Genomic DNA, 18,902 nt, shown 5'->3' on the forward strand with positions numbered 1-18,902 from the left:
TAAACAACTAAGCTGGAGCCTTGAAATCAAACTCAAATGTTAACAGTTGAGGGACTATGTTTTTATCTTCTGCTTATTGAGTTTATTTTAGTCCTGCTTCTTTCTAAAATAGACTTGGAGAAAATCCTCAAGAAATCAACATATAAAATAAGGCTAATAAAACAGAGAGAAAATCAAGACCAGGGCAAGCAGGGAAAGAACACACATGCTAACCTACCCTAAGTGTTAAAATAATTCTTGTGACAGAATTTAACTCTGAGATTCCTGGCAGTCACTTAAAAAAAAAAAGACTTTTTTGGAATGATTTTAGGTTCACAAGAAAATTGAGCAGAAAGGACAGAATCTTCCCATATTCTTTGTGTGCTCTCATACACAACCTCTCCCATTATCAACATGGTACATTTGTTATAAATGATGAACCTACATTGCCACATGATTACCACCTGAAGTGCATAGTTTACATTAGGTTTACTCTTGGTGTTGTATATTCTACAAATATATATTGGGTTTTGGCAAATATAGAATGACATGTATCTACCATTATAGTATCATACGGAATAGTTCCATTACCCTAAAAATTCTCTGTTTTCTGCCTAGTCATCCCTCTCTCCAACCCTGGAAACCACTGATGGTTTTACTGTTGCCATAGTTTTCTGGAATCCACTTTTAAAAGGAAAGTTTGATATAGTACGTTTAACGAGAAAAGAGAAGACGTAACATTTTCTCAAAGAGACAGAATTTTTCGTAGCCCTAAATTCTGTAAGAAATGAATTACCTTATGGGATCAAGATGGATGCATCAGATAACATCCACAACAGTCTTTCAGAAGGTACATAGGCAGATCTTATTTGACTATTTCTTGTAAAAAAAAAAAAAAAAAAAAGCTCATAAAAGCTAAAGTCCAACTCAGTAAGAGAAGAGTCTTCCAAGTTCTAAATTTAGCTATAAGAGACTAGCTTTATCAAAGGTTAATACCTGTGAAACCCAGAGGAGTTGGCAATGTATCTCCTATCTAGACTCACTTCCATAAATATCATTTATTTTAACAAGGATTTTTACAAGCACTAAAGTTTTGTCAGAAAAATAGGTCTTCTGTGTTGTTTGAGACCAGATGCACGTTTTGGAGTCCAGAAGGGTAGAACGACAATTTATTATGAAAGGTGAAAAGCTTAGCTAGTACTTTCTCAATGTAGCAGTGGGATGCAAGGGTGTTTTAGGCAACTTTAAATTAGCACAAATACTTTGATTAAAAATTCAGTTGTGATTAGTGATTCACAACACAACATGCAAGAGTGGTTTAGGCACAGAAAATGTTAATGTAAGTGTTTGCAATGGTCTGCCTTGGAAATAGAAAAACCTGAGTAGAGAACCATTGAATTTCCAGCAGGAAAGTCTCCACTTGAGTTAAGGAGGCAAACAATATTTGTTGAGTACTTACTACATGTGTCATGTATGGGGCTACGTACTTTATGCAATTTACCTAGTTTAACTGGGTGAGTTACATGTTAAGAATTCCCCAGTAAATATATTGACTTGCTGTATGATGAGAGTCTTTGACTAAATGGAATTTGAAGAATGATTTTCAAAGAAAATATTTTTTTCAGTAATGTCATAATGTTTAGTTTTTCTGACAGTAATTAAATATACTAAGTTCGCTGGCTTCTTGAAGGACATGGAAAAAAGAAGGTTATGCATTCAATTAAAAGTTTTCACTTTCCTCGTTGGCACACTAGAAAAATACATATTCCAGTTTCCCTTGCAGTTAAGTTGGGGGCCCTGTGACTAGGCAGTGGCAAATGGCAGGCCACAGATCCCCAGGTCTGATTGCCTATGTTCTCTCTCTCCCTTGTCCATGTGTCTACAAAAGAACTCCTAAAAGAGAGAATGATGGAAGGAGCTCAGATCCTTGAGTAGCCACTTATGGAGACTTGTTTAGGAGAGCTGTCCAACCTGCATTAAACTTTGCACTATTGCAAGGAATTTTTATTGTGTTAAGCCAAAGATGTTGGGAGTAGTGTGTTACAGGATATAACTAGCTTTACCACTGCTGGTTTTATGATACTAAAAATTTATTGTCAACATAGAATAATCTTCCAATTTTACAAATAAAAACATAAATCGAAAATTAAAAAAAGTATCAGATCATTGACACAATTTTTAAAAGGCTGAAAGGTTAAAATATAACTACTTTGTAACACTTGAAACTGCTTTCTTATTTGTTGGTCAGCCATTTCTGCCTATTTCAATTCTTCTTGTGATATTAAAATGGTATTAAAGGTCTATTAAATAAGGTCTTCTATTGTCTTTGGCAAAATTATTTGAAGATAGGTGAGAAACATCCACAGTAATAGCTGTGCCTGAAGCTGTTGATTTCTCATATGTGCTACATTAGACCAAAAGATCAATGCTGTATTGGTCCATTTTCACGCTGCTGATAAAGACATAACCAAGACTTGGTAATTTTGAAAACAAAGTGGTTTAATTGGATTTACAGTTCCACATGGCTGGGGAAGCCTCACAATCATGGTGGAAGGCAAGGAAGAGCAAGTCATGTCTTACATGGATGGCACACACAAAAAGGGAGCTTGTGCAGATAAATTCCTGTTTTTAAAACCATCAGATCTCATGAGACTCATTCACTATCATGAGAACAGTGCAGGAAAGACCTGCCCCATATTCAATCACCTCCCACCAGGTTCCTCCCATGACATGTGGGAATTGTGGGAGTTACAATTCAAGATGAGATTTGGGTGGGGACACAGCCAAACCATATCAAATGCTTTCAGTTTGTAAAGAGAAAGCCAGCATAAAATTCTGAAGATCAGTCTTCTGAGTTGGTAATTTTTTCATATTTTTAAATTTTTCATATAGATGTGTATTCACCCATATTTAAATTACCAATTTTTATAACTATGTAGCTTATTGAATATTCTTATTTTTTTTCCAATAGGTTTTAAATGACTATATGGTCTAGTTATATAATCATATCATCTTCAGATAATGAGAACTTGGCCTCTTGCTTTCAAGTATTTATATATATTTTCCTTGTCTAATTGCATCAAATAATATTTCCAGGATATTTCAAATAAAAAATAGTGATATCAGCACCCTCTTCTTGTTCCTGACATGAATAAGAATTCTCCCAAGATTTCACCATTATACAGTATTCTGGCTTTTTGTTTCCAATAGAAATATATCTCAATAGATCCATCTCTCTCTATGAATAGAGTTTTTGTTTTGTTTTGTTTTAATCTGGATTATATAGTGCTGATCATAGGGTCTGTAGCACCCTTAGGAGGTCTTCTTAGGTTTAAGTAAACTTTCAGGCTCATGAGACTATCATGGCTACATTTGGCATCTATTTATACAGAAGGATACAGGACAGCCACCACAGTTTGCCAGTGTAGCATCAATTGTGTCTCTTTGGTGGAACACTTTACACAGCAGTACAGCTCAGGTGTAAGATGTGACCCACTTTACACAGGTGGGAAACTGTCTTGGCTTAATAGACTCATGCCCCTCTGGAGCATCTCTCGTGACAACCCCTTAGGCATAGTGCCCAGAGTCCCTTCAAGGGATATGCCCCATAAGAGTCACTGTACACAGGAGACCCAGTGGTTTGCTAAGAGGTGTATTTGGCTCTTCCTGTTTAAATGTGGTTTACCAATCAGGGGGCCATTTTAACCAGCAATATAGCAACAGACGTAGCCATGCATAGATAGCTAAATATAATTTTTATCAATACATTCTAGATATTCTGTAATTTCAGTTGTTATTTATAATTTTTTATTTTGACTTGAACACTGAATCTAATCTTGTCTCACCTCTAAAGTACTTTGCTTTTGAAGTCATTTTCTCTTTTCAAGACAGTAGAATCAGACTCTCATCCTCACCATCCCACTAAAACTAGCCTTATCAAGATCATCAGTGATCTCCTTGTCAAGTCTGATGATCACTTCTTAGTCCTGATCTTATTTAACCTTTCTATCTTTGGCTTATAAGACAATATACTTGCTTGAGTTTCCTATTACACCCCTATCTCCTCCTTTTCATTTTCCTGGGTTTCTTCCCTACTTAAATTTTGGAACATCCTTAGTTCTTAGTCCTTAGTTCTCTTAATTAGACTTCTTCTCTCTCCCTCCACTCTCTTCATTCTACATCTACATTCACTGTCTCTCATCCAGTCCCAGGGACTTAAATACTGTTGTGACTAACAATTTACATCTTGAGCCCTAGGCTCTCCGAGTTGCAGAGTTGTGCAGCATACTGCCTATTTGACTTCTCCACTTGAATGTCTATAAGACATCTTACACTTCACTTGTCTGAAGTATAACTTCACATAATAGTCTGTGGTGGTGACTATTAGTTGCTCTCTAAATTCTGCTCTTCCTTCTTCCATAGTGATAGAAGGTTGAGTTAATGACTAGGCTATATTTTCCAGTCTCCCTTGCAATTGCATGTGACTATCTGATCTAGTTCTTTCCAGTGAAAGGGAACAGCATTAATAGGTGCTATTTCCTGGCTCTAGTCCTTACAAGAACAATTGTGCCTCCTCCATACTTCCTTTTCCTCCATCTCACTAGCTAGAATGGTAACTATTAGAGTGACTGTGAAGGTGAGAGAGTCACTGTCAGGCTGGGACCTGAAAGACCTCATGGAACAGAGCTGTCCACCAACCTGATACACTCTCTTCAGACTGTTACATGGTGAAGAAATAATTTCTATCTTTTGAAAGTCATTATATTTTGGGGCTCTTTGTTGTAGCATTTTAACCTTTCACCTTAACTGACATAGAAATTGGTACCAGAAAAGATGCTTTCTTAATTTAAAACCCTGCATTTTCTTAATGGTCAGGCAAATTTGCAATTAAAGATATAGGTAGGGGGGCAGAGCAAAGAGTTTTTTTGCTCTGTTTATGATGGGAAGTCATTGGAGGGATTATTCAGTTGGACTGTGGTTTTACAAGGCATAACTATAGCTGCTCTGTGTAGGCTAGAAAGCTGGTGATGCTTATGCTATTTCATAAAATTGTTATCTATAATAACTTGGAAGGCACATCACATATCCAAGTCAAAGGAATATAGTTGTAAAAATGAGAATGTTAGCGTACTTCACTGTTCTTTGTTGATTTAAGTAAGGTATCATAAGAAAGATGAACTCAGGCAAGAACTGGCTGCTTTGCAAGCAGAAATGGAAGGAAGTGAGAATGTCCAGAAATTAAGGGCCTCTCAGGGCTGAAGAAGACAGCTGTTTTTGTGACCCAAACATTAATAAAAATGCAGGGATCCAAGCCTTGTGGCAAGGATCAGAGTAAGGTATCGCCCTCCTAAGCAACACTATTATTTCAGCTAGCCTCAAGGTGGCCCTCCATTAAGATGAGAAAGTAAAGTATGGATACAAGGAAGCAAAGAAATAGAGCAGCCTTCAGAACTAGGACTAGAAAAGACTTTGCTGTTATTTCCACAAGCAACTGACTGGAAGCAATTAGATCAGAAGCCTATTACGGTTTTAAGGAAATCTAGTTGCCACAGAAACCATGAATCTGTTAGCTCCTTAAAGCAATACTCAAGCCTTCAAATTTTTATCAGCAGAAAAGGGGTTGTGAATGATATGCAGCCCCCTAGGAAGGCATTTTCTGTAACAGTCACTTCTGATATGGCTATGGAAAATTATGGACAAGGTAGTTCCTCTAAGAGAAGCAGAGTATCCCAAATGTCTAACCAAGGCACTTTCTGCACTGCCAGAACAGAGAGTCTCCATAATTCTTGCTCAGCTGTGAGTCAAAATTGCTGTGAACAAGAAGCTATGTGTATCTTTATCTTAATAGGAGCTTTTAAAAGCAGTCATCCTATGCCTGTGCCACTACTGTGTATGGGGTGTGGGAAGAGAGGGAGCAATATCTTGTTTAATGGTTTGTATGACACCAACTATGAGAAGTCATTTCAGAGCTTGATAGAGAAAACACACCGCTCTACTGTCTGCGTGGACATGGGCTGCATCCCACACCCTCACGTGGCTCTCTCCCTCACTTCATTCAGTCTCTGCTCAAATGTTACTTCCCCAAAGGTGACCAAAGCACTCCATCTACAATCACACCTCCATCATTTTCTACAACCGTAACCTCCCTTTATCCTCTCCTTACTCCTTTTTTCTCTACATAGTCCTTCTGTATTGCTCCCCCACTGGAATGTAAACCCTTTCAGGGCAGGACTTTGTCTTGTCCTTAGCTGAAATCCTAGCACCTAGCTAGAAATGGCCAATACATTATAGGTCCTTAATAAATATTTACTGAAAAGAAAAAAGACTATGAGCTTCTAAATTTGAAAGGTCTGAAGTTGTGTTTGTTTGATTCTGTTTTGCTATTTATCTGTATCACATTATGAATGGTCACAGAAAATTATTTGTGCACGAGAAAATTGAGATTACTACCTGCAAGGTGTCATTACCTGGTAAGAAGCCTATCAAAAGTTTGTCCTCCTGAAAAAGTAGTTATTGCTAAAAGCTAGCTGTTTTGATCTCATTCTTGCTCATTTGTTTTTAAGACTGAGATAATGAAATGTCACTCCCATGGCAACTCTGCCTCTTTTTCGGAATGATCATTGGTGGTCATAGTTGCAGCATAATAACCAGTTAGACCTTGGAAATCCTTTAGATTCTCCTTATTCCATGATTTAACAAAGACTGATATAATTAGCTACATTTTACTGAAGGGAGAAGCTAAAGTTCACAGGCAGAATTCAATTTAATCCAATCCATCTGTTTAATCTTTGCTGAACTTAAGCTTTGTGCCAGGCATTGTGCTGGGGATAAGGGATATAGTGACAAGACAGACACTGCCCTGGCCCTTCTATTGGTTAGACTAATGTCTCACGGGACCCAGAGTGGTAGGGAGGCAATGACAACACAATACATTAAGAGCTACCTTAGAGCATGCTAAGTGTAATAGAAGTATATAAAACACTAGTCTCAGCCAATCAAAAAGTCAGAAAAGGCTTCCTGGGGGACTGTCGGCTAAATTTAAACTCAAAGGGTAAGGGGAGATTGTCCAAATGAAGAAGGAAGAGGAATGAAGAGGAGGCTAAATTTAAATGAAGAAGGAGTGTTTTCTAGGCCAAAGCAAATATATGGAAAACAAAAGAAAGACGCATGTAGATGGGGCATTACACTTTTCCCTCCAGTTATTTATCCTGTTTTCATCCACCACTCTTCGTCTTTTCCTTAGATCTCCAGTTTTTTAGCCGTATATTACCCCCTTTCTCTCTAATCATCCATTGCACACAGTGAGGTTTATTTGTAAATCTAACCCAGGCACCAACTAACCAACCAACAAACAAAAACAGCTAAGGAGTAGCCACTGGAACCTGGAACCATGCCTACACTTACAAAAATTTGATTTTCTGCAGAAAAAATATTTTGACTCCTACATTTTTGGACTTCATTAGAAGGACCTGAAATGGATGACACCAAGCTGTTTGCCTAAAATAATGTCCCAAGCCTGAATTGGCATGGATCTTTCTTGAGATTAAAATAGAAACTTGTTTTGCTAACTGAAAACAACTTAGAAATCAAAGAGCCATTTAAGTTGAAACCATTATTTTTCCTTTCCTTGAAGAAAATTCCTGTTTTTACACACACTGAATGATCAGGATAGTGAATCACCCTACCACAGAACTTTCCATTAAAAATTTGAAGTTGTAGAAACCTCAAAAAGAAAATGAAGATGGGGGGAAAACGTTTGTAATGTAGCAAATGAATTGAATAAACATTTATGAGCACCTACTATGTGCCAGGCAGTGTTCTAGGTGATAAAGATACCTGCCTTTGTACAGCTTGCATTCTAGCGGAAAGAAAACATACAAACAAAAAATATGCAAGTTATATAGTAATATAAAAGATGAGTGGTATGGAGAAAAGACAAAGTAGGACAGGCCAAGGATCATCAGAAGGAGGGCAAGTTAGAGGTTTAAATAGGATGGTCATGACTGGCCTCTTCAAAGAGGTGTGACATTTGAGCAAAGACTGAAGGAAGTGAGGGCGTGTGCCATGTAGATATTTGCAGAGGGCAAGTTGCAGTTTTAAATAGGATGATCATGATTGGCCTCCTGGAAGAGGTGACATTTGAGCAAAGACTGAAGGAAGTGAGGGTGTGAGCCATGTAGATATTTGGGTCCAGATAGAGAAAACAGCCAGTTACTGGCCCCAAGGCAGGGGCATGCCTGGAACATGCAAGAAAGGCAAGGAGGCCATGGACTGGAGGAAGAGAAATGAGGACATTGAGAGGTACGGGAGATGACAGATGATCACTGCACAAGGCTGTCATTCGAGGTAAGGTTGGGAAGAGGGGTGACTTGATTGGGCTCATGTACATCTTAGGATAATCATGTTTTCATTTGAACACAGTCATTTAGTACAATACTTTTTACTCTGCAACAACTGAACAATGATTACTTAAAATGGTTTCTAAGTGATCCCCTCAAGATCAGGCACCACAACACTACTAGGCAGTAGCAGCCCTTCCTCTCTGGCAGGCACTCATCCCTAGAGGGGCAGTCCTGTCCTAATGTGCTCGGGAGTTGAGCTGATAGAGACAGAAACAGTCTGCTCATTTCTTCTTCAAAACCCGACTGGAGAGCCAAATATTTCTTTTGGTTAGTTACAAAATAAAAAATATGCCTTTGCCAACTCTGCGGGAAAAGCAAACTCCCAGAGTTTGCCTTCGCTAATTTGTCCAAGTCGTGCTGTGGTTTTAGTAAATGCAGACACTGCTCAGCTCCAGCCCCATAAACCTCTCTGCTCTAGGGCTTCTCCGCCCTCCGGTGAAAGCTACTGCTCGCCCCTGCAGTCACCACCTGTTCGGGCGGAACCTGCGGAGCGTGCACCTACGCCTCGGGCTCCTTTCCTCCTCCACTCCCCTTTCCTGCTGGGCACCCTGCTTTCCCTCTCCCAGAGAGGGTTTGCAACTTTTCTCCCAGGCTGGGGCTCGCCCTGCTTGGCTAACCCCCAAGAGCCACTGCCGTCCCGCAGCGCCCCTGCCCCCGAGTTGCCTGCCCCGCTGGGCCCCCGGGAGGAGCGGAGCGCGCTCACCCTTCGCCCGGGGCTGGGAGGGCGGCGAGTCGGGCGCACGCGCACCCCCTGCCCGCCCCTGGCGCCCCTCCCCGCGGGCGGTGCAGCTACCCCTGCAGCGCCTCCCCTAGCTAGAAGGGAGCGGGAGGGGGCTCCGGGCGCCGCGCAGCAGACCTGCTCCGGCCGCGCGCCTCGCCGCTGTCCTCCGGGAGCGGCAGCAGTAGCCCGGGCGGCGAGGGCTGGGGGTTCCTCGAGACTCTCAGAGGGGCGCCTCCCATCGGCGCCCACCACCCCAACCTGTTCCTCGCGCGCCACTGCGCTGCGCCCCAGGACCCGCTGCCCAACATGGATTTTCTCCTGGCGCTGGTGCTGGTATCCTCGCTCTACCTGCAGGCGGCCGCCGAGTTCGACGGGAGGTGAGCTGGGCCCCGGGGCGCCCTCTCCTCCTTCCCGCGCTAATTTCACACTCACTGTCTTGGGTCACTTTTCCCCGCGGGGTTTCGTGGTCAGAGAGGCGTCTCCTCCATCCAGAAGTTGGGCCACCGCACAGCGTGGCGCGAGGAGAGCGGTCCAGCGGCTCCGAGTGCCCGCCCGAGGCGGAGAGGGCGCGCCCTTGCGAGTCTGGGACCCCATCCGCGGCCCCCCGAGGGCGACTCGCCCCGGCTCGGGAATTAGGACTGAGGGAGAGGAGCCGCTGGAGCCTGGGATCTCGGCTCTGAGGGCGCGGTTTAGCCACCTACGCCGAGGTGACGCGCGAAACATCCCTTACCCGGGAAACTCCCGCGCCTGAACTAGACGGCTCTTCACTGGGGAAGCTTCCAGGCCCCCGGGGGGAGGCCCGGGCTCTGCTCAGGGCTCTCGGGGCCGCTCACACAGAGAGTGGGTGCGAGTCAGCGACTGGGCTACGGGGGAGATTTGTGGGCCTCTCCATTTGGTTTTCTTGAGGGAAGGAGACTCAAAATGAGGACCGGAGGGTGGGCGCTCCGTGAATGTGAGCATGAGTGTGTGGATGTGTGTGTGAGAGCGCACACACTGCGCCGCTCCTCAGACTCGGGCGAGCCTGACGGCGGCGTGCTGTGACAGGTTCCAACAACCTCGGGCCGCGTCTCCGCTGTCACTCAGCCGGTCCTCCCGCGCTCCGGGGCCGCTCCGGTGTGTGAGAGACACTGGGTCTGTCGGGAGGGTGTGCTCGGTCCCCCTCACCTCTGTGCAATTACAGACTAGGCTCGTCCCGGGTGCAGATGGCTGCTGCGAAAAGAGGTTTTACTCTGGCGCACACCGTCGCCCGGTCGCCTTCCTTCAGCGACCTCTGCCCCCACCCCTCCGTGTAGGTCCCTGCCTAGTCCTAAAGAAAGATGCCGCACCTGTTTTACCTTTAATCTTGGAACGAATCAATTCCACAATTGATTCGCTTTCTTGTACCCGGAGGCGAACGGAGGGGAACCAGTGGAGCGCCAAGAAAAAGCACAGCTGCTTGTTCACTACCTGGTCGGAGGAAATAGAAAGTTCGGGGTTATTTTGTACTTTGGGCCTGGGGGTAGAAAGGCAGGTAAAAGAAAAGGGGAATTGAAAAAGATAAGGAGACTTTAAGAAAACGTGATAGCAGCCAGAGTGTAGACCTTTTTATTTTATTTTTAAAAGCAATTCTGTGCTCACATTTGGGTATGTTATGCATTTCTTGCACACATATTTGCAACAAGAAACCCATCACAAGATATGCATATGATGTGAATGCATATAGCTTTTTGTAACTTTAAAAAGATGTCTAAAACAGCAAATTAAAATGTTGATACCCAGAGGAAAAAAGTCATTTAGGTGTGACTCTAAACAAGGAAACAATTTAGCAAATAATGTGTCAACGTGTAATCAGGTGGATAAATCTGTATCCTGAAATTACTTTCTTTAGGCATTATTTACATTAGAGAGGAAAATACTATGAATTGTTGATCTAAGCACGTTTCAAACCACAAGGATACTTGAGATATCAGCTACACTTTAAACTCTCCTTGGTTTTATTTAGACTTTTTTCTAGTACTTTTTTGTTTTTTTTGTTTCTGCCACAGTTATGTCTCAAAAAGAGCTCTGTTACACTTGATTTTTGAGAAACCTTTCTGCTCCTTCCCCCATCCACCTTTTATATGAGGCAGAAATTTTTTCTGCTTTGACATGTCTTACTTAATACTTTTCAGTTTATGGTGAATCAGTCAAACCTGGCTTTCACCCCAGTAACAGGTGTGGGTCTTTGAGGAATCTGTTTTATTTCAAGCTTCAGAAACTATCCTGTGAGTGGCAGCCTTGAGAATTGTTGGTGTTAGCTGGTGCTATTTCTACTTAAGAAAGCATCTTTCCCTCCCGTTTTTTCTCCTACCCTTGTGTGTTGGGGGATGGGGTATTTAACTGTCTGAAATTTGACATTAGATCATAGCAGAACTATTTCTGTGAAGGTGTTTTAACCTTAAATTTCTGCAGGCATAAAAGAGTTTGTAGAAAATTGTTGGGTGTGGTTGACATTTTTTCTGAAGTAATAATACAGAGGAAATTACCTTTCTTCTCAAAAGTGTCCTTATTTATTTTGAATCTTTTTTTTTGGTAGGTGGCCCAGGCAAATAGTGTCATCGATTGGCCTATGTCGTTATGGTGGGAGGATTGACTGCTGCTGGGGCTGGGCTCGCCAGTCTTGGGGACAGTGTCAGCGTGAGTATCAAGCCTGGGGACTTCAGTTCCCTGGGAGGTGTGGCTTTCCACCTTGTTCATGGCTTCACCCCACATATCAGAGGGTTCATTACTGAGCAAGGCTTGGCCTTGCAGGTCTGACTTGGGGATTTTCAGGTACAGTCCAGACTCCTTATTCTGCTTCTTTTCAGCTTTAGCCACCTGTATTACGGCCCAGCTTTGTCATTCACAGAGAGCCACCTTAAATGTTTCTTTTAGCATTTTTCCCCCCAAATCTGCATCTCCTTCCTGTTTTCTTACCAGGTTTATTTCTCTCTCTCTCTCTCTCTCTGTCTCTCTCTCTCTCTGTCTCTCTCTCTCTCTCTCTCTCTCTCTCTCTCTCTCTCTCTCTCTCTCTCTCGCTGACTCGCTTGCTCCAGGCTGGGAGATGGGGATAAGATAATGAGTCTAGACCGTATTTACACTGGGGATAAGATAATGAGTCTAGACCGTATTTACACAAAATAAACTCTGAACCTTAGAGTACTTATATAATCCTCACCATAGCTGTTGTGTAAAGTGGCCCATTTGTAAATCCTTTTTTGGACTGGGGTTGTATTGACAGTGTTTTAAATGGACCACCCAGTATAATGAAACAAAGCCACTGAAACAACATTATTTGTAAGTTCTATAAGTAACCAACCTCATGTAATAAGTACCAAATCAGAAAGCTGATTTTCACCTTTTCTGTGACCACAAATGGATATTTTAATGGTAAAATTTAGAGCTACATCAAAAGAGTTTGAGAAATTTAGGAAATTTGTCCCCAGCATTTTATCGCGATCTTAAAATTGTATCTCACTCCTACTGCAAAAAAATAGTCTTCAAATGATCAAGTACCTTTCCAGAGCACCCTTAGAGTGCTTGGGGCGGGGGTAGGGGGCACTTCTGGTAAGATGATGGGAACTAAGTTGGGTTCTACATTGGGATATATATTTTATTGCTAATGAGGAGGAGGCTTAGAGGAAGAGAGAAGGGCAGTTACGAAGGCTAGAGCTGGCAATGGAGAAGCCTGCCTTAGAGATGGGTTGCTAGTGTGAGGAGTCAGGCAAATTTAAGTTCAGGAAAGTTAGGAGTTCCCTCTGCTATTTTAATTTTTGAGGATGCTTGCAATGTCTTCCTTAATTTTGTGAAAGAGGGACAGTGACAGTCACAGATTGACTCTAATTGCACATAAAGACCACAATCTCTGGTTGGGAATAGAAAGGTAAAGGAAATGAATGTTTGCCTACCTGGTATGGAATTTGAGAACCAACAGATTCTAATAACCAAAATGTGAAGAAAGGACCCTTCTGTTGGCCCAACACACCTACACATAACCCTCCTGAGTGAAAAATGAGTAGTTCTATACCTGCAGTCTCCAGCTGTGCAAATACTTCTGATACTACAGAAGACTAAATTCCACCAGGCACCATTCTTCTTTTTTGATCATCTTCCCTTAAAACAATATTGAATAGACTAACCAGTGAGTGTACAGCAGCTTTGCCTACTTCTTTTGTTTACTGGAAACTGGAGTTACCACCATCTCCCTTTAACAGAATGTAATTGACCCCCCGTGCAAAGGGTCTAGCCAAGCAGCTCGCACATAGCAGTTAGGCAAACATTCGTTTGCTTCACCTTTTATGTTTATACTTCCAAAATCAAAGTAGTTCCAAGGTTTTCTATGTTACAGTGAAATAAAATCCCTTTCAATTAAAAAGGCACAAATGGTTCTTTACTATTAACATTGAAGTTGGTGAGGTTGTAAAAATTAGCTCAAAGGTGAATGTTTCCTTCTGTGTATTTTATTTTTCCAGCATCTTAGATGGCGCAAATGTCTCTTGTCAGTTCAGAGTTCTGCCTGTCTTTGTTTTGATATAAGCAGGTAGAGGAATGTGGGGCTGAGAAGTAAGCTTGAAGGGGCAGAACAAACCAAAAAGAGGCTGATCAGATTGAATGAAATATCTCTGAAAACTCTTGATTATTTTAAAGAAAGTCTTTATGAAATTAAAAGTTTTGTCACTACGTTTGTTCAAGAAAATGCCTTGCTATTGTATAACAATTCAATCTAATATGATTCCTTATAAAGATTCCAAAGAACTTCTAGCGAATTTAATGTGAGAAATGTTTTTGCCTTTTCGACCTTTAGATAATCATGTAGTTCTTTCCCATAAGGAAGGGCTATTCTCCCTTCCTCATCAGAGGTGCTCTGGTTCTCTTCTTTTCTGAATGATTCACTTTGGAATTTTCCTTCAAAACAGCATAGCAAAACAAAAAGAAACTATTCCCATTACTGCATAGATCTTCCCAACTTATCCCATAGAAGGTGTGTTTGTAGGTAGGGAAAGGTGGTGGTACCCTCATTATATTATTTAACAGACCTTATGCCTTAGTGCAGTGACCCTTTGGTGAGTGTTTATTCCGTTTGGTTGAGCATTTGTGAGATGTTTGACTTAATATTCATGTGAGTCAAATGTACGTATCTGTACAAAACATGCTGCCCTTCATTTTCACTTGCTATCTTCCTATCCATGGTCTTGTTTGGAGAAACCGACTAATGTTGCAGGATGCTAAAGCTGGTAGACCTCTCCTTCTGGCTCACTATGTCTAAGCAGAGCCAGATATAGCTGGGAAACTTTATATCCTTCCCTCTAGGACTCAGGAAGGAAGGATCAGAGATGCTACTCAAATGGGCATAGAACCTGTCCTGCTGCTTCCTGCCTGTACCACCCAACATTCTATCCCAACATTCCTGCCTGCTAGGGAAAGCATGACCCGTTCCAGAAATAGGCAGGTTGTGTTTTCATAGTTCTTTTGTAGGTCATACCCTTGGTTGTTTTTTTTTTTTTTTTTTTTGATTCTTTGTTTTGTGTTCTTGACTCTTAAACAGATCTCTAGCATATTGAAAATTCAACATTTGATTTTCTAACTGTCATGGGCTTTACTTTTATTGACTATTGATGTGGCTGTTTATTGTCAGGTGAAAATTTTTTAATATGTTCACACACTGATGATTGCATATTTGCAGCACACAGCATCTTAAACCACTCAGAGGTTTGTCACAAAATGTGTGTTTCTTGCTCTGTAATTTTTTTGTCATTTTGATGGCATATTTTAATTATGCTTTTATTTCTCTCCTTCTACCAAGTGGAGACCTCTGTAACAAAGATTTTTCAGGGTTGCATATTTCATCTTTAAAAGCTGTGTACACTGTGGAAACAATTGTTAACCAAAAGCACTAGATAATTTAGGATAACTGAGTTCAAGTTCTGACTTTTGTACCTGAATAGGTGTCTAACATTTCTCAGCTACAGTTTTCTTATTACACAAGCATATTTCCAAGGTATGTTGAAGCTCTAAACTGCAACTGAAAACTTCCTTAATGTAGAAAAACTATATAGGATCTAAATATTGTATTTTTGTATGGTTGTCCTTCTGTTTACTCGGAGATTTGACTGTATATGTGGCTTATGACAATAGCATTTTTGTTAAAAGCATTTTATAGAAGTGTGAAGAAAAACTAAAAATACAACCAGTTCCAAGGTTTAACAAAACTATTCCGTTTCTGAGTTCTTTGGCTGTCATTGAGCAACTTGTGGTTTCTGAAGGAAATTATGTGAATTAGGATGGTTTTGTATCATTTATCCTTAAGAACAGGGAAAATTGAGATGTTTTCTTATGTTTCTGCTGGAGATTTTGGAAAGATGTGAAACCTACACCTACAGATTGACCTTGCTTAGTTAGCTCTGAACCTCCTGCTGCCTCTTCCACGTAAAGTGAAAATTTTGGATTCTTATCGGCTTCAGATAAACTTACAGGTTAGTGAAACATAGGGACTGAGATATAGTAATTCATTCTGAAGCTGTTTTGGAGTGGTCAAATAATTTTAGTTGGATAATATATATTACTGGCTAATGATTGTGGATATTGGAAGTGATGAAAAAATTATTGAATTATTTCTTTCTGCATTTCAAATGAAAAGGCTATTAGTTTGAGCAGAGAATTTTGATTTAGTAAACAAAATATTTAAATTTCATGTTTCATTTCTTTCTCCTATCTGGGTTCAGATACTCAGTCTTATAAATGGAACATGATTTATTTTTGCTCCCTAAACTGGTTATTAACTTCCTGTCCATAATCACAAAACTATATAGATTATATATTTCTTTGATTATTTGGATTTTGAATACTCTCTTTAAAATAATCAAGAGAAAATTAGAGCTGTTAGAATGTTAGAATTTGTTTTGAAGGCCACACATAGTGTTCCCTCCACAGAGAGGTTATACTAGTAAATGCCTTTCTATTTGAGGTCAACAACTATGACAACTTCCATTGAACATGAGTTAGTATTTTAAACGTAAAGCAATTTTTATACCTGTATGCACCCAAAAAGTAACAGGGGCTCTCAAAAGGGGTGGGGATTGTACTGTTTACATGTATATTGAAGATTGCTAGCAGAATTCTGGGGCCAGCTTGGTGGAGCGGAGTACACTTCATTGTCCTTAGTGTAGTAGCTTCCTCCTCTAATTTTGAGGTGAGAATGCAGAATCTGTTTTTTGTTTGTTTGCTTTTAGGTAGGAATAAAAGCAAGGCAAGGAATAATTTTGATTACTTGCAACATTAAACTTGAATCCACAAATCCTTAGGAAGTGAAGTTTTTGATTAAGATTATTTAACTGCCACTTTCCTTGAAAGGTTGTTTAAGAACATCATGTACCTTTGGGTAACTTCAAGTGGTCTTGGAATGCAGATTCCAAAGTAAGATCAGCGTTGAAGAATCTTGACCTTTTCAAACAGGTAATTTGTTAGTATGTGTAGTCTTCAAAGTTAAGTTTCAGAGAAATTGCTTTGCTCTTTTATTCTTTTCCCCAATCAGAACTGATCTTTATGTAATACTATTAAGATCTACTAATTTCCTGAAATCCCTTCATAAGCTTAATCTGGCCAGGTCTTAACCTTTATGGATTAGAAATTTTAGTACTTCTTAAGCTAGAAGGCCAGGCCAACTAAAGGGAAGCACTCTCCTCTCTGCCAGTTCAGCAACTAGATCTGTCCTCAAATACCTGCCACAGGGATATGCTGCTTGAAGTTGCCCACGCATGTACACACTGGGACCAAGAAGGCACTTCTGGTGCCAGAAACAACACTGTGTTTGCTTTGTGGAAATTTTTGATATGCTTTAAAAAATGTAGGTGTCTTCTCCCTCACCTCCTGTGTGTAACTTCCAGCATTTCTTTTTGTTGCTTTTTATCTACAGAATTCATGTTCTTTGCATTTTGAGTTAGTTGAATCCACTGTATGCTTTCCAGATGATAATTAGTGAAGCTCAATGATTCTATGCAGTGTCTTTCAGTGGGTAAGGGAAGATATTCATCACAGGGGTGGGCCTTCATCACAGGGGAGATGGAAGGGCAAGGGAGAGGGATTCTGATGGCCTAACCCTCATTATTGCCCCCCACTGCCACATGCAGACACTCTTGCCGCTTTCCCATTGATTTTGTGCAATATTTTAAATTTTTCCACCAATCTTTGGAAAATATTAATTTATTTTGTAGGAGAAAATGTATTCATTTCCTTAAATATCCCTCCTCAGAGCAACAAGCATGATTAGTTTTTGGTATACTTTAAAAAATATTTTACCTACTTATGGGTAAATTGCAATAGATCTCTCCCCTATCACCCACTTGTTTTGTACAAATGAAAGCATACTATATACACTGCTTTGTATGCTGCTGCTTTTTCTTAACTGTACATGTTGAAAGGTTTTATTTATAGACCTTCTTACTTTTTTTTTTTTTTTTTTTGAGATAGGGTCTTGCTCTGTCGCCCAGGTTGGAGTGCAGTGGCATAATCTTGGCTCACTAGAACCCTTACCTCCTGGGCTCAAGCCATCCTCCCACCTCAGCCTCCTGAGTAGTTGGGACCACAGGTGTGAGCGACCACACCTGGATAATTTTTGTATTTTTTGTAGTGACTGGGTTTTGCCATGTTGCTCAGGCTGGTCTCCAGCTCTGAGCTCAACTGATCTGCCCACCTCAGCCTCCCAAAGTGCTGGGATTATAAGCGTGAGCCATCTTGCCCAGCTGCCTCCTTACTTTTTTATGCACTCAGCATTCCATTGTATGGCTATACTGTAATTTATTAGCAAGTCTCTTACTGATGAACATTTATGTTGATTCTAATTTTTTGCTAACACAAGCAATTCTAAAAAAACTTTGAACATATGTTAAAGATGTTGTTTTGCATGTTCTTAGTGTTTCTGCAAAATAAATTTTTATATGTGGTCAAATGGCAGATACATTTGTAATTTTTATCAATTGCCCAATGACTTCTTACTCAGTAGAGAAGATAGTTTAAGGGGAAAGACTGAATGGCGATGCTGACCCAAAGGCTCCAACAATCCCATATCCAGAGTCTGATCTTTCCTTGATTTTAGGATTCTTTGATCCCTTTTCTTTCCCAAGAAATCCCTCTGACAACTCAGTGAATGTCCATCTGCTCCCATCATCTGTTTCCCATCAGACCAGAGGCAATGGGCTGAAGCTAGGAGAATGGAGTGAGATGTGTCCATTTGCCAGGGTCTCCCAGTGGCTTCCTGCCTATCATTTACTTGTAAGAAAGAGCCACGCATTCCTTTAGGAATTGCTTAATTCATTGATCTTTTATTATCTTTGTAGTTTAGCCATAATTTTTTTTTTCTTTGAGACGGGGTCTCACTCTGTTGCCCAGGCTGGAGTGCTGTGGCAGGATCTCGGCTCACTGCAACCTCCGCCTCCTGGGTTCAAGCAATTCTGCCTCACTCTCTCTCGAGTAGTTGGGATTACAGGTGTACACCACCACACCTAGCTAATTTTTGTAATCAACTGATGGAGTTGATATCCAGAGACAAGATACAGAGATTCTGTATCTTGATTTTTAGTAGAGACAGAGTTTCATCGTGTTGGTCTGGCTGGTCTTGAACTCCTGACTTCAGGTAATCCACCCACCTTGGTCTCCCAAAGTGCTGGGATTACAGGCATGAGACACCGCGCCCGGCCATTAGCCATAATTTTTATACCTTTGTGTATAGTATGGGCTTTTTTTTTTTCTAGACTTATAACCTATTAAGGAGGAATATGTAGAATTCTGAGATCTGAATACCATTTTGG

General features: G+C 40.9%; 1 protein-coding gene across 17 annotated transcripts in view, besides 4 other annotated features; it reads left to right on the forward strand.

Annotated features, from left to right (window-relative positions):
* Nucleotides 7,936-7,985: a silencer, noted in NCBI's record as "silent region_15609". NCBI's record gives its function as "represses an Ori minimal core promoter by ATAC-STARR-seq in GM12878 lymphoblastoid cells {active_cell/tissue: GM12878}" and the evidence as "EXISTENCE:reporter gene assay evidence [ECO:0000049][PMID:35858748]".
* Nucleotides 8,910-9,479: a silencer, noted in NCBI's record as "silent region_15610". NCBI's record gives its function as "represses an Ori minimal core promoter by ATAC-STARR-seq in GM12878 lymphoblastoid cells {active_cell/tissue: GM12878}" and the evidence as "EXISTENCE:reporter gene assay evidence [ECO:0000049][PMID:35858748]".
* The window catches only part of NPNT (nephronectin), a 76,201-nt gene continuing 66,525 nt past the window's right edge, over nucleotides 9,227-18,902 (forward strand). For 10 of the 17 annotated variants that reach the window (XM_005262888.5, NM_001184690.2, XM_047449985.1 and 7 more), the window contains exons 1-2: nucleotides 9,227-9,479; nucleotides 11,657-11,757. In XM_005262888.5, coding sequence (XP_005262945.1) covers nucleotides 9,409-9,479; nucleotides 11,657-11,757 — 172 coding nt within the window. In that variant the 5' untranslated portion in view covers nucleotides 9,227-9,408. Of the gene's footprint in view, nucleotides 9,480-11,653; nucleotides 11,758-18,902 lie in introns of all 17 variants that reach the window. The other 7 variants (XM_011531820.3, XM_017007984.2, XM_011531823.3 and 4 more) reach the window with 1 other exon arrangement.
* Nucleotides 9,640-9,849: a silencer, noted in NCBI's record as "silent region_15611". NCBI's record gives its function as "represses an Ori minimal core promoter by ATAC-STARR-seq in GM12878 lymphoblastoid cells {active_cell/tissue: GM12878}" and the evidence as "EXISTENCE:reporter gene assay evidence [ECO:0000049][PMID:35858748]".
* Nucleotides 10,088-10,382: a silencer, noted in NCBI's record as "tiled region #231; K562 Repressive non-DNase unmatched - State 20:ReprD". NCBI's record gives its function as "represses a minimal TATA promoter and a strong SV40 promoter by Sharpr-MPRA in K562 cells {active_cell/tissue: K562}" and the evidence as "EXISTENCE:reporter gene assay evidence [ECO:0000049][PMID:27701403]".

The sequence above is a fragment of the Homo sapiens genome, chromosome 4 (assembly GCF_000001405.40).
Source record: "Homo sapiens chromosome 4, GRCh38.p14 Primary Assembly".
Classification (NCBI taxonomy): Eukaryota; Metazoa; Chordata; class Mammalia; order Primates; family Hominidae; genus Homo; species Homo sapiens.